This window comes from Homo sapiens, chromosome 9, assembly GCF_000001405.40.
Source record: "Homo sapiens chromosome 9, GRCh38.p14 Primary Assembly".
NCBI lineage: Eukaryota > Metazoa > Chordata > Mammalia > Primates > Hominidae > Homo > Homo sapiens.
In genome coordinates, this window is record NC_000009.12 from 38,490,782 (window position 1) to 38,506,565 (window position 15,784).

The following is a 15,784-nucleotide window of genomic DNA, read 5'->3' on the forward strand; positions in this document are numbered from 1 at the left end:
AACCAAATCAAATCAAATCTTCAGGAGAACATTCACGCTCAACCTCATCATATGCCCCGCCGGCAGAACTCCGACATTCCTATTCCCTCCCCTTTACAGCCACCTAAAACAGCTGAACCAAAACTGACTAGCAACCCCTACGATGGCCTTCCCTACCCCTGTCCCAATTCCTACATACCCCTTCCAATACTCCCCAAATAAAAAAGAGAATTTACTGATGGTGTCTTACACTCTGGTCCAGTTCTGAGTTGCCTGTGATGCAACAGCCAAATGATTTGCCAAGGTGACTGAGGACCTCTCAGATTTGCCGAGGAATTCTCGACGGTCTGTACAAGTTATGTCCTAGAGTTTTCAATTTCTATCAGCTGATACATTTACTGGTGGGACCAGGAGGAGAGAGACATTGGGTAAAAATTGTCAGGATGGGAAAATCCTTCTGATGATTTATTTATTTATTTATTTAGATATGGTGACTCACTATGTTGCTCAGGCTGGTTTTGAACTCCTGAGTTCAATGATCCTCCCACCTCAGTCCCCTGCGTAGCTGGGACTATAGGCACACACCACTCACATTTGGCCTCTTCTGATGATTTAAATCAAAATTTGCTCCAAGATATAGAAAAAGCCAAATAATTGGTTGACACATTAATTAAAGTTACTCTCATGGCTTTTCCAAAGCCAGTAGATTGGAATAAAATTTTGGCTTGTGCTCAGAGAGAAGGCAGACTAGTTCATGGTTATTCCAATAAACTAGAAAGTAATATTTAAGTAAAATTCTGGTTTCTCAAAAGAACAGACTGATGCCACTTAAGTAGCACTTAACTCCATGTTTGTTAATGGTCTCAATGAAGATTTAACCATATTAGTTAAGAGAGCACAGAAAATTAACAAAGATATTCAGGACCTGAACTCAGCTTTGGATCAAGTGGACCTGACAGATATTTACAGAACTCTTCACCCAGAAACAACAGAATATACATTATTCTCATTACCACATGGCATTTACTCTAAAATTGACCACATAATCAGGAGTAAAACACTCCTCAGCAAATGTGAAAGAAATGAAATCATAACAAACATTCTCTCAGACCACAGTGCAATCAAATTAGAATTCAAGATTAAGAAATTTACTCAAAATCACACAACTACCTGGAAATCAAACAACCCGCTCCTAAATGACTCTTGTTGATTAATGAAATTAAGGCAGAAATCAAGAAGTTCTTTGAAACTATTGAGAACTAAGATACAATGTACCAGAATCTCTGGGATGCAGCTAAAGCAGTGTCAAGGGGAAATTTATAGCACTAAATGCCCACATCAAAAAGCTAGAAGGATATCAAGCTAACAACCTAACATCACAACAAAAAGAACTAGAGAACCAAGTGCAAACAAACCCCAAAGCTAGCAAAAGACAAGAAATAACCAAGATCCAAGCTGAACTGAAGGAGATAGAAACACACAAAAAAATCCTTCAAAAAAATCAATGAATCCAGGAGCTGTTTTTTTTTAAATTAATAAAATAGACCACTAGCTAGACTAATGAAGAAATGAGAGAAGATTCAAATAAATATAATCAGAAATGATAAGAAAGATATCATCACTGACCCCACGGAAATACAACCATCAGAGAATCCTATAAACACCTCTATGTGCATAAACTAGAAAATCTAGAAGAAATGGATAAATTCCTGGACCCATACAGCCTCCCAAGACTGAACTAGGAAGAAATTGAATCCCTGAATAAACCAATAATGAGTTCTAAAATTGAGGCAGTAATAAATAGCCTACCAATCAAAAAAAGCCCAGGACCGGATGGAGTCACAGTTGAATTCTAGCAGAGGTACAAAAAAAGCTGGTATCATTTCTCCTGAAACTGTTCCAAATAGTTGAAAAGGAGGGACTCCTCCCTAATGCATTCTATGAGGCCAGCATCATCCTGATACCAAAACTTAGCAGAGATACAACAGAAAAAGAAAACTTCAGGTCAGTATCTTCAATGAACATTGGTGCAATAATCCTCAATAAAATATTGGCAAACCAAATCCAGAAGCACATCAAAAACCTTATCCACCACAATCAAGTTGGCCTCATCCCCAGAATGCAAGATTGGTTCAACATACACAAATCCATAAATGTGATTCATCACGTAAACAGAACTAAAGACAAAAACCATATGATTATCTCAATAGATGCAGAAAAGGCCTTTGATAAAATTCAACATCCCTTCATGTTAAAAACTTTCAATGAACTAGGTATTGAAAGAACATACTTCAAAATAATAAGAGCCATATATGACAGACCCACAGCCAATATCATACTGAATGGGCAAAAGCTGGAAGCATTCCCCTTGAAAACTGGCACAAAACAAGGATACTCTCTTTCACCACTCCTATTCAACGTAGTATTGGAAGTTCTGGCCAGGGCAGTCAGGCAAGAGAAAGAAATAAAGGGTATTCAAATAGGAAGAGAGGAAGTAAAACTATCTTTGCTTGCAGATGATATGGTCCTATATCTAGAAAACCCCAATTGTCTCAGCCCAAAAGCTTCTTAAGCTGATAAGCCACTTCAGCAAAGTCTCAGGATACAAAATCAATGTGCAAAAGTCACAATTATTCCTGTACACCGAAAACAGGCAAGCAGAGAGCCAAATCATGAATAAACTCCCATTCACAATTGCCACAAAAAGAATAAAATACCTAGGAAGACAGCTAACAAGGGAAGAGAAGGACCTCTTCAAGGAGAAGTACAAACCACTGCTCCAGGAAACCAGAAATGACAAAAAGAAATGGAAAAAAATCCATGCTCCTGGATAGGAAGAATCAGTATCTTGAAAATGGTCATACTGCCCAAAGCAATGTATAGATTCTATACTATTCCCATTAAACTACCATTAAAATTCTTCATAGGATTATAAAAAAACTATTTTAAAATTCATATGGAACCAAAAAAGGGCCCCAATAGCCAAGACAATCCTAAGCAAAAGAACAAAGCTGAAGGCATCATGCTATCTGACTTCAAACTATACTACAAGGCTACAGTAACCAAAACAGCATCATACTGGTGCAAGAATAGACACATAGACCAATGCAATAGAATAAGACCAATGCAATAGAATAGAGAGCACAGAAAGAAGACTGCACACCTACAACCATCTGATCTTTGACAAACCTGACCAAAATAAGCAATGGGAAAAGGATTCCTTATTTAATAAATAGTGCTAGGAGAACTGGCTAGTCATATGCAGGAAATTGAAACTGGACCCTTCCTTACAAAATCAACTCAAGATGGATTAAAGACTTAAATGTAAAACTCGAAACTATAAAACACGGGAAGAAAAATCTAGGCAATACCATTCAGGACATTTTGTGACGAAGATGCAAAAAGCAATTGCAACAAAACCAAAAATTGACAAATAGGATCTAATTAAACTAAAGAGCCTCTGCACAGCAAAAGAAACTATCATCAGAGTGAACAGACAACCTACAGAATGGGAGAAATTTTTTGCAATCTATCCATCTGTAGTGAACCTCCTCATGGGTCACACTTTGTACTGAATCCCTGAGCTCATCCTTTTCTTTCCCCAATGCAATTAGAAGCAAGTAGCAAATTTTATTCTATTCATTAGTTTGACAAAAATATTATAACATATTAAATATATGGTCACCCAGTAGCTTGCCTTTTATGAGCTTTTGATTAAGAGTATCTAATGGTGACATTGTGTGTGTCTCTATTGCCAGATCATGCCAGTGCTGTCTTCACCAATGGAAATAGAGTAATTGATGTCTTTAAATCTAATCAGATTAGAGAACCAATTCCAGAAACCTCAGAGCCAATCCAGAAAATTTATTCTTAAGATTTTGTTCCTGTAGAGCTATTCTTGGTAGCAAACTTTGGATTAGCATTGTTGAGTGAAATAGAACCATCATGATGTGTGTGTGTATGTTGCAGTCTTGAATCTGAAGGTAGTCTGGAGGCAGAACTCCTTTCTCCTCGAGGGGACCTCAATCTTTTCTCTTTAGGCTTCCCACTGATTGGATGAGGCCTGCCCATACTATGGAGGGTGGAATGTAATGTCCTTTACTCAAAGCCTCAAACTATGCTTATCACATCTAAAAAATACCTTCCCCACAACATCTAGACTGGTGTTTGCTGAAGCAACTGGGCATGTGTTAGTCAGGGTTCTCTAGAAAAGCACAATAGGGTATGTGTGTATGTATGTGTGTTTGTGCATCTGTGATTTCTGTATATGTGTGTGTACATGTATATTTACTTAATTGATATTTGTCTAATTTTTGGTTACTTATCTAGTATCTATTTACTTATTTGGAGTTGGCTCATGCAATTATGGAGACCGGAGAGTACCAAGATCTGCAGGGTGAGTTGGCAGGCTGGAGACCTAGAAGACCTGATGGTGTAGTTCCAGTCTGAGTCTTAAGGCCCAAGAACCAGAAGAGCCAATGGTATAGTTCCAGTCTACAGGCCAGCAGCGTCAATATCCTAAGAGCCAATGTTTCAGTTTGAGTCCAAAGGCAGGAAATAAAGAAAGCCACTGTCTTTCTTTGAAGGTCATTAGATAGCAGAAATCCTCCCTTACTTGGGGGTGGGTCAGCCTTCTGGTTCTCCTCAGGCCTCTCACTGATTGGATGGGGCCCACCCACATCAGGAAGGGCAATCTGCTTCACTCAGTCAACCAATTTAAATGTTTATCTCACCCAAAAACACCCTTGCAGAAACACCCAGAATAGCGTTTGACCAAACAACTGGGCACATTGTGGCCCAGTTAAGTTGACATATAAAATTAACCAACACAGGGCACTATAGTTTACTCTAGTTGACAGATGTCGCTATGACACTTGTTAAATCTCCAAGCAACATTGTGGATTTGTCTATGTTTTGTTTTTGTTCTCTCAGTTTTTGTATCGTGTATTTTGAAGTTCTCTTTTTAGGTATAACGATCTTTATGATGATTGCGTTCCCTGGAGAAATTAACCTGTATTAAGATTGTGATATATCACCTTTTATCTCTTGAAATAACCGGTTGTTAATGCCCACTGTCCCCACTTCAGTATGAATACAATTTTTGATATGATTAAGTGTAAGATTACCACCTAAAAATTCATTTTCTAGTTGCCCCCTGTGTTTTGTTTGTTTTTTCATTTGGGCCTCTATTTCACTTTTCTTGCCATCTTTTGGATTAATCAAATTTTTTTAGTATTCCATTTTTATTATTTTATTGGATTTTTATTGTACTTCATTGCATTCTTTTAGTGGCTATGCTAGGGATTACAATATGTATCCTCAGTTTATCGCAATCTATTTAGAGTTAAAATTGGACCACTTCACATTAAGAGCCTTTCAACAATAGAATTCCACTTATTTACTGTCCTTTTTGTCATTGTTGTGATATATTTTATAGCTACATATTAATAAACCCCATATGATGGATATAATCCTGTCATTTGTGCCTTAAACTGTCTTTCAAAAAAGCTAAGAAAAAATGTAGTCTTAAAAAAAACCTATCCATATATTCACCATTTCTAATGCTCTTCATTCATTTCTATGTATCCAAGTTGCTGTGTGATATGACTTCTCTTCAGATTGAAAAACTATCTCAGTTTTTTTGTTTTTAGTGCAAATCTGCTGGCAATGAAATATCTTAGTTTTTATTTATTTAAATGTTTTTATTTCATCCTCACTTTTGAGATATAATTTCCTTGATAGAGAATTCTGGGTTTATACTTTTAAAAAATTTCATCATTTGAAGACATCATTCCCTCATAGCTGGGCATCCACTGTTTCTGATGAGAAACCTGCTGTCATTTGTATGGTGTTCTCCATGGGGTAGCTTGCCTTTTTATTCCCTCTTTCAGTATTTAAGGTTTTCTTTTTCTTTCTGGTTTTCAAAAGTTTTTCTATGTTCTGCCTAGATATGGTTTTCCTCATATTTACCTTCTTTGGGTTTTACTGAGCTTCTTGGGTCTATAAGTGGTATTTCCCACTGTATTTTGAGAATCTTTAGCCATTATTTTTTTCAAAGATTTTGCCATTAGTCCTTCCCCTGTGTCTCATTACACATAGGTTTCATAATTTGTGAAATTAGTGCTTCTGAGTCTCTGTTCACATTTGTCCAATCTATTCTTTTCTCCAATTTTCAGTTTGGATACTTTCTATGGATTTATCTTCAAGTTCACAAATAAGCCATTCAGTAACGTTTCATTCCAAATACTCAGCTTTAAAGTTCAAGGATTTCCTTTTTTTTTTTTTTTTTTGAGACGGAGTCTCGCTCTGTCGTCCAGGCTGGAGTGCAGTGGCGCGATCTCGGCTCACTGCAAGCTCCACCTCCCGAGTTCACGCCATTCTCCTGCCTCAGCCTCCCAAGTAGCTGGGACTACAGGCACCCACCACCGCGCCCAGCTAATTTTTTGTATTTTTAGTAGAGACGGGGTTTCACCGTGTTAGCTAGGATGGTCTCAATCTCTGGACCTCGTGATCCGCCCGCCTTGGCCTCCCAAAGTGCTGGGATTACAGGCGTGAGCCACCACTCCCAGCCAAGGATTTCCTTTTTTTAAAAAAAATTTTTAGCTTACTGAAATTTCCCATCTGCTCACTCCTTATAATAATATTTAAGTCCGTAAACTCAAAATAGCTCCTTCAAAATCTGTCTGCTAATTCCAAGATCTATATCCTCTCAGGTATTTTTACGGGTACTTCCTCCCGGGATTTTGGATTCCATTGTCCGGGTTCCCAGGTCTACTGGTTCATGACCGGATGCTGGACAATGAGGATGCGATGTTATGTGGTTTCTGGATTATGTTTTTATTCATCTCTAGGACCTTGAGTTTTGTTTAGGCAGTCAGTTGAGTTACTGGAAACCCTTTTTGTGTGGCTTTGTTCATACTTTGATAGGCTGGGTTTATGATGGCATTGAGCTTAATCTTAGGGCATGGTCCTTTTGCTAAGATGTAGTGTTCACTCTTCTGTAGTTTCATTGAAATGCCAAGGTGTTCCTTAAGGTCTCTCCTCTCTTAGTAGCCAGAAGTGCTCACATACCTCTCAGCCCAAGCAGATGACCTCTGCTAGGCTCAGGAAGCCTCAGCCTGTGTAATTAGACTTGCTCTTGCTCACTATTACATGTTGAAATCTGTGGTATAATATGAAAAAATATATCTGCTCTTTGTCCCCAGTTCTTGACACAGTGCTCCTAAACTCTTAGAATATCCTGAGTGACAAGAGTGTCTTATGTCATTCATAACAAGCCCCTTTTCATCACACCTGAACTTATGGTAATGAGGTGACTTAGGGTGAACCCCAAGACAGCCTCAGCATGGGACTAGTTCGCAGAAACACCAAATTATTAGAGAGTTGGAGCTTTCTGCCCTAATATCCAACCTCCAGGGAAGGGATGAGGGGTGCTAAAGATTGAACCCTCTATAAATGCTCAAACAATGATATTCAGAGAGCTTCTGGGGTGACAAACAGACACCCTGAGCTGCTGAGAGGGTGGCATGCCTGGGGAGGCATGGAAGCTCCACAGAACCCCCCATACCTTGCCCTATGCATCTCTTCCATCTGGCTGTTCCTGAGTTGTATCTTTTAGAATAAACCATTAAGCCTTAAGTAAAGTGTTTTCCTGAGTTCTGTGAGCCATTCCAGCAAGTTATCACACCTGAAAGGGTGCAGTGCTTTGGGAATCGCCTGACTTTGTAGCCACGCTGGACAGAAAGGTGGGTTACCTGGGGACTCAGTACTTGCAACTGGCATCTGAAGTGAGGGGGCACTTGTGGGACTGAGTTCGTTTCCTGTAGAGTCTGATGCTGACTCTGGGAGCTTAGTGTCAGAAGTGAACTGAGTCACTGGACAGGTGTTTGGTGTCTGGAGAGTTGGATAATTGGTTGGTGTGAGAAAACCCCCCACACATTTGGTGTCCAAAGTGTTGTGAGTAAAAACAGCACAAATTCCAAACAAGCTTTTGCCACACCTCTCCTTCCCACATACTAGAGATTCCATTTCTTAATCCTGACCCAGATTCAAATTCCTTCAGCAGCTCAGCAAGACCATTGCTCCATTTGAACTTAATCTCATTGTGCCACAGCAGGAAAGTGTCCATAAAGCAAAGAGACAGAGGATAGAGGGACCGAAATCATGCATTTCTCTTCCCTCAAGGATCACTGTCCCCAAACGCCTGCTGTGTGCAATGCTTGAAAAGAGTTGTGTCACATGTTGTCAATTTTGATAGCTGTTTTTGAGTGCAAGTAGCTTGGTATGATACTGTCATCAGCAGAGTGGTAGTCACAGGTATTGAGCCTTTTAGAATCACTGTGGGGGTTGTGCAAACAGTGGACTGAAAGAATTCAGATTAGAAGCAGTTAAGGGGCTTCTGAAATAAGTCCTGAGGTTGCTGGAATAAGATGATGGCCTCAGGGATAAAGAGAAGGAAGGAAAAATGTTAGGTACCTAAGAGGCAAAAATGGAAAAGAATCAGTTTTTGTTTTGGGGGGTTAGGAGAAGAAAGAGGTAAAGGATGCCTTCTACGGCTCCTGTGTGAGCATCCTGAGTTGGTGCTATCCAGTGAAACAGGTCAAGTTGATTCTCATATTCATACTTGCTTCTTACAAAAAGTATTACATTTAAAAATGAGTAACAAGTTTCATTTAGTAAAGATTAAGTGTTATTAAATCATACACTGAGTTTACTCAGTGTCTATGTGCTCAGAAATTACACTCTATGTTTTTACAGACACATACACTTCTGTGAAAAGACTATAGGATGCACACACTGCTATGCAGAGCACAAACACACACGAGTGTAATTCTACAACACAAATGAACGGACGTTTTCAGAGACAGAAATCTATCTAAATTACCTTCTCAACGATCACTCTCAAAGGTGCACGTCTGTTAGCTCCGACAGGATGGTGTCCTATCAGGGTCCTTTTCCCTGACTTGAGAATGAAGAGTATCTGTCATGAAGGGAGAAGTCACAGTCAGCTGGAATAAGGAGGCCGTCAGCAAGACAGGCTGTCAGGCTCTCCTGGGTTTTCTCTGAAAGACTTCAGCCCACACCTCCCCTTCTGGACACTGAGTGGGAATAACAAGAATCAGAGGCCGCCCCGAACAACAGAGCTCCAAGTGGAGCTCGGGGGTGAACTCAGAGTCCTGCTCTTTCTCCCCCTCATTTGACCCCAGAGAGCAGCAGAATACAGTGCAGTGGCTGTGAAATGGATTTTGAATAGATTATGATATTCATGAGCATTTTTTGCGGGGGAGTCTCTTTTAAGTAGTGTTTTTTTTGACAATTTTGGGACATTTAAGTTAGCAATGACATCAAGAATCTGATGGAAACCATAAGCTCTCACCACAGCAACATGCGCACACCCACAAACTCAGTGGCTCATGGACTCTCTGCAGGTCACTGATGGTTCTTAGGTTAGGAAGGGGCTGGAGGCATCTCACAATATTTATTTGCTGGTTACCTGATCCTAGCATCTGTAAGTGTGCTCAAGCGAGCGGACGGGCATGGATCTGGAATGCAGAGGAGCCCAGGCATGAAGCAGCAGCACAGGCAGCAACTTGCTCTGACAACACCCCCTGACTTCTCTGACTGGATGGGTTACACAACCCAGCGGCCTGTCATCCTGACCATCAGGTCAGAAATGATTGGTGATAAAGTTAGTCACTCAGTCACTTAGATAAGTGGGCAGGCAGTGAAGTCTGCTTCATACACTACCTATTAAGTTTAGTTCCAGTGTCAGGCAAGCAGCTGAGATTCAACATCATTCATTTAAACAGTTTTGTTTATCTTGAGATATTTTTTAAGTTTCCTTTTCATTTTCTCTTTGACCCACTGGTAGCTCAAGAGTGTATTATTTAGTTTCCATCTATTTGTGAATTTTCCTGTTTTCTTACCATTATTGGTTTCTAATTTTCTTCCATTGTGGTAGGAAAAGATACTCGGTATGATTTTCAACCTTTTTTTTTTTTTTTTTGAGACGGAGTCTTACTCTGTTGTCCAGGCTGGAGTGCACTGGCACAATGTTGGCTCACTGCAACCTCTGCCTCCCAGGTTCAAGCGATTCTCCTGCCTCCGCCTCCTGAGGAGCTGGGACTACAGGCACATGCCACCATGCCCAGCTAATTTTTGCATTTTCTTAGTAGAGACGGGGTTTCACCATATTGGCCAGGCTGGACTCAAACTCCTGACCTTGTGATCCACCTGCCTCAGCCTCCCAAAGTGCTGGGATTACAGGCATAAGCCACCGCGCCCGGCTGATTTGCAACTTTTTAAAATTAGTTAAGATTTGATTTGTGACCTAATGTGATCCTAGGAAAGTTTTGTGGGCATTTGGGAAGAATGTGTATTCTGCTATTATGTGGGAAGTTCTGTATGTGTCTGTTGGATCCATTCAGAATATAGCATCGATCAAGTCAGCTGTTTCTGTATTGCTCTTCTGCCTGGATATTCTATTATTACAAGTGGAGAATTGAAGTCTCCTACTATTATGGTATTGCACTCAATTTCTCCCTTTGGATCTGTCAATATTTGCTTTATGTATCTGTATATTTGGGTGCTAGTCACATAATTTGCAGTTTTTCAAATGGATTTTTGACTTTTCATCAGCTTGGAAGAGCTTTTTTTATCATACATATGAACTGTGAATAAATTTTCTTAGTCGATTTGGGTTGTTTTAGTCCCTCAAAGGTATCTAATGTTTTATAGCGAAATCCTTTCCCTTTTCTTTTACAGTTTCTATATTTTTGTTTTCATGTAAAAGTTGTCACAATCTCTACAACACACATAGGTTTTCCTTTTTTATTGTCTGTTTCACCAACTAAAATATGTTCTTCATGTGGAAAAGGACATAACCTATCTTGTTCATCATTGTATCACCAGTTCCTAGAGCAGGCCTCAAGTATGTCAACAACTTAATAAGTATATTGTGAGTACATAAATGAAATTATTTTTATTTCTGTAAAACCCCTTGTGTATGCACTTGACTGACTCAAGTAAAATGGTCTGAACTGGAGAAAGGAACTATTCCCTTCAAAGTATGTCATAGGGCCTTCAACTTACACTGTTAGTGCAACAAGATCTCCATCATTGCTTAAGTGTGTCAAAACTCAGACATTCATCAATAGCTCCAATAAGACAAAGTTGTCATATGGGTTAGCCTCTGATTTTTCTTTTTCAGATGGAGTCTCTCAAGCTGGAGTGCAGTGGCGTGATCTCGGCTCACTGCAACCTCTGCCTCCCGGGTTCAAGTGATTCCTCCAGCTCAGCCTCCCAAGTAGCTGGGATTACAGGTACCTGTAATCATGCCTGGCTAATTTCTGTATTTTTAGTAGACACAGGGTTTCACCATGTTGGCCAGGCTGGTGTTGAACTCCTGACCTCAAGTAATACACCAGCTTCAGTCTCCCAAAGTGCTGGGATTACAGGCGTGAGCCACTGTGCCTGGCCAATTTTTCTACTAAGTTCTAAATTAGACATTGCCTGTATATCACCTGAACATCACCCCAAGACTCTTTCTCTGTGAGATGGTAAGCCCCATCTGGTAATTTTCCACCTGACCAAAATGGTTCCTGCTGGTGTAATAGATTCTTACATGAATTTATTCCCTGTCTACAACTAGATGGACCGCACATGAGCACTTCTCCATCGGGGGCCAACTGGAACTTCTTCCTGGGAATTTAGAATATTGTATCATTAAAAAAATGAAGTAAAGCTGGGAAATAACAACAGCCGTTATCTAGCTCTAGTTTTAACCAAAATTATTTTGTCACCCTCCTACATTATAGCTGCTCTGTGTTCTTCCTCTGACTTTTGTGAGTCAACAAAGTCATCTTTTACCCAAGTTAATTCAAGTTGGGTTTATGACATTAGAATTTAAGATCCTGAAGTATTACAAAAAGAGACTAAAAATTCAAGTTTTCTCCCCCAATCCATTCTTTTAAAAACCAGGAGTCCCTGTACCCAAATTCTGAGACTCAAATCTCCAACTCACCCGTAGCAACCACCATCATCTTCTCTTCTCTAGGTTTACACGCGTGCGTGCATTTGTGCAAGATGGAAGGGCTGTTTACATAGCAGAGGGTCAGGGAACCAAAATACTGTTATGTTGACAAACCAACAATATTTCTATCTTAGCTTAACACTTGAAACACAGTACTAAATGAAGTTAAATTTTCATCACTAAAATTGCTGTGACCTTTATCTCTTCCGTTCCTACTGTACTTGCTGAAATATGACTTCATTTATGACATTTCCAACTCATCAACCATGTCAGCTGGGGACAGAGTTAAAATAACTTTTAAAAACTGAACTTCAGACAAATGTGCTTGGCTCTGGGAAATCTTAGAAAGTTTTAGCATATTAAGCAAAAGCCTGCATTGTTTTTTTCTTACATGCTTGATAGCATGAATATTTATCTGGAATTTTATTTTGTGCTGGTTATTATATGAAGTGTGTACTGTCCTCATCAAAGAGTGCTTTATACAGAAATAATTTAAGTCAAAACATCCTCTTTCTTATATGAGTCTTCTTCAAGGGCCAAGTTAATAAAATTAATAGACTTAACCTTTTAACTCTTAAATATTTACATTTAAATTAGTGACATAAGATTGTATACATTAAAAAAGGCTATTCATTAGGATCTCAGGTAAATCCTAAAATGTAGAACACATACTTTAGGCAAGGAAAGTAATTTTTGTTTCCTCAAATTTAAGTATATAGGTTTCTTAATTTTCTTTTTAAAAAATAAATTTTTAATTTTCAAATAGGTTTAAATTTACAGAAGAGTTGCAAATAGAATACACAGAGTTCTCCTCCACACCGTACCCAATTTTCCCCATTTTAATGTCTTACATTACTATGTTACATTTGTCACAATTATTGAATCAATATTGATACATTATTAAGTTTATACTTTATTTCTATTTCCTTGGTTTTTACTTAATGTCCTTTTCTGTTCCAGGATTCCATATCAGGATACCACAGGACACTGAGTCCTTAGGTTCTTCCCGGCTGTGATCGTTTCTCAGGCCTACATTGTTTTTGATGACCTTGATGGTTTTAGGGGGTACTAGTCAGGTGTTTTTGGGAACTGTTTCTCAGCTGAGGTTTGTCTGATGTAGTGGGATTATTAGTTTTGGGAGGGAACATGTCAAGGTAAAATGCCATTCTCATCCTGTCGTATGATACACACTTTCAACTTGACTGATCACTGCTCACACTGGCCTTGATCACCTGGCTGAGACAGTGTTTGTTAGGTTTCTCCAACGTGAAGTTACTCTTTTTCCTCCTTTGCTATACTGAGTTCTTGGTAGGATGTCATTATGTGAAGCCCACAGTTTAGAAGTGGGGAGTGATGCTCTGCTTCCTGGAGTGTCTGATCTCCTTTTGAAATGATTTTTCATGCTGAACACAGAGTAATTAAAGTAAGAAAAATACGGATATTGAATGACTAGTTGCAAGAAGTCCATTATGACATCTGACATGAAAAATTATCTATCTACCTGTCTATTAAACGATTATATCTGTGTATACAAACATTAAATACTAAGCTATGCAGTATCGTCTTTACTGAAGGTAAAGGTCATTAGATTATATGCCATGCAGTGAACTGAGAAATATCTCATTTTTCAGACCTAAATCCCATCATTTCTTCAGAATACCAACTCTTTATAGAATGTTGTTTTGGGAGAAGTTTATATTGGTGAAAGTTTACTTTGACATATCTATGGGATAAGACGACTTTCTCCACTTCATAGATTTTGAATTCAGGATAAGACTTTCTCTACCAATGAGCAAAAATGGACCAAAATATGGGGTAACACGAGGAAATCAAATCTGAGACGGTCCACAACTGATGCCTTTCCTTCACCATACTTAGGTAAATGCTGTGGCACGAGTTGTTCACATTAAACACAACGAAGCAAATCATAAGCAGCAGTGCAGTTGTGATGGTTCCGGTCTCATGGGAGGCTCTAGAGGAACAGCCGTTGTTGTGAAGATGTTGATTATTTTTCTGGTGTCTGTGAAGGAAAATCACAAAGTAGCCACTGGCCCAACTCATGAGAACCAGAAAAATTAAGTCCTGGAGTGTGATAACTCGTATGAGAGACGGCAATTGCGTTACCCATGTGTGGTGTAGCTAAACACATTTTTATGGAGAGATTCTTGGTGACACTGCCATATTTGATAGTGTCAACAAACGGCACAAGCCTGACGTAGATGAGACTGTTGATGACCCAGAGTTTAAGAAGAAGCATAGTGGTGTTTTGAGCATTTTGTCTTTCAGCCACGCCCACCTGGATTTGCTGGGGCTCCCACAGAGGGCCTGCACCATGCTTAGGAGGCATGTTGTACATAGGGGAAGTCCCCAAGATACTCTATATACAAATTCAAATTCCCTACATCCAGTATAATTCAAAAGATTTTTAATATTGAAAGATTTTACTGCCAATGGAATAACTTTGTGGAGAAGTGTCATCGTATTAGCAACAGACAAGTGAAGGAAAAGCCAGCCCATGGGCTTCTTCTGCTGGGGACATATCAAAAAGGTGTAAATAGGCATCAGGAGTAGCAGTAAGTTCCTCCAAATCCCAATGTCAATATGAGAGAGGAAAAAAATTTCCATAATTGTATTGCTGGAAAGCATGGTGTTATAGGCTCTCAGAATGATACAAATATTATGTTTCGGCCTGAAAAGACTGAAAAACATCAAATTAAAATGTAAATTAAAAGCAGAACGCAAAAGGATACCTGTCCCAGGGAGAAAGGATTTCATCTCTTATGTAGTTCCTTTAAAAGGGAATACAAAAGGAATAGAACTATATTAAATATCATGTTGGAAAATTCCATGGTAACCAATTATCCCTCTCAGTGTTCACAGGTAATTTTGGGATGTGATGTAGGCCAATAGGAAATAATGAGTATTTCCATAGCAAATAAGCCTTCACTTATGACACACATTTATTTTGGCAGTAATAATTAGTCTCTCTCCAGAACCCAGAATAAAATGAGAAAAATCAAGTGGGTTTTGATCTGCAGTGCCATTTATATTTGGTAAGATTTCTCATTATGTTAGTCAGTCTGAAACAAATTACAGTGGAGTGTGGCAGGAACATGTATTATGAACTAAATAAATACTCACGAATGCACTCATCATCCGGTTGGATGAAAACGTTCAGTGTCTACTCTGATGGAAGCCAAAGATGCTGATCATAATGAAGTCAAAACCATCAGTACCTGATTCACACTCTTACATTTCCTTAAAAATACCAGGAGGCTGAAACAGAAAAGTGGAAAAGAGAAATTAAAGATAATTTATAGAAGGTTTATAAGTGATAAAAACATGAAAAATAACTTTTTCAGTTATTAAATCAATTCAAATGGAAACAAATAATTTTGTTCATCAATTTGTAAAAGTTTACAAATTAATCTGCTTCAAAAATGAAAAGGTCCAGTAAGATAATAAATTTTCCTATAATGCTAATGGGGATTAAGTGTTGATATCTTTGGCAAAGCAATTTAAAATACATATTAAAAATTTGAAGACAATGGTACAAAAATAAATAGCCTTCACACATACAAATTACAATCAGAAGCTATAAGGGCAGAGATAACTACATTTACAATGGCAATAAAACATACTTAGGAATAAACTTACCAAGAAATGTACAAAGCCCGTAAGAAGAAAACTTGTAGGCCAGGAATTGTGGTTCACGCCTGTAATCCCAATGCTTTGGGAGGCCAAAACAGGAGGATCGCTTGAGCCTGGGAGTTT

The 15,784-nt window shown here is 38.8% G+C and overlaps 1 long non-coding RNA gene and 1 pseudogene across 1 annotated transcript; one reads left to right on the forward strand and one right to left on the reverse strand.

The window, feature by feature from the left end:
* The first annotated feature begins 8,869 nt into the window (after positions 1 to 8,869).
* Positions 8,870 to 13,566, forward strand: LOC105376042 (uncharacterized). The gene is made up of 2 exons (XR_929607.3): positions 8,870 to 11,300; positions 12,971 to 13,566. It is a non-coding gene; the product is annotated as an uncharacterized LOC105376042 (long non-coding RNA).
* VN1R48P (vomeronasal 1 receptor 48 pseudogene) lies at positions 13,720 to 14,656 on the reverse strand (annotated as a pseudogene).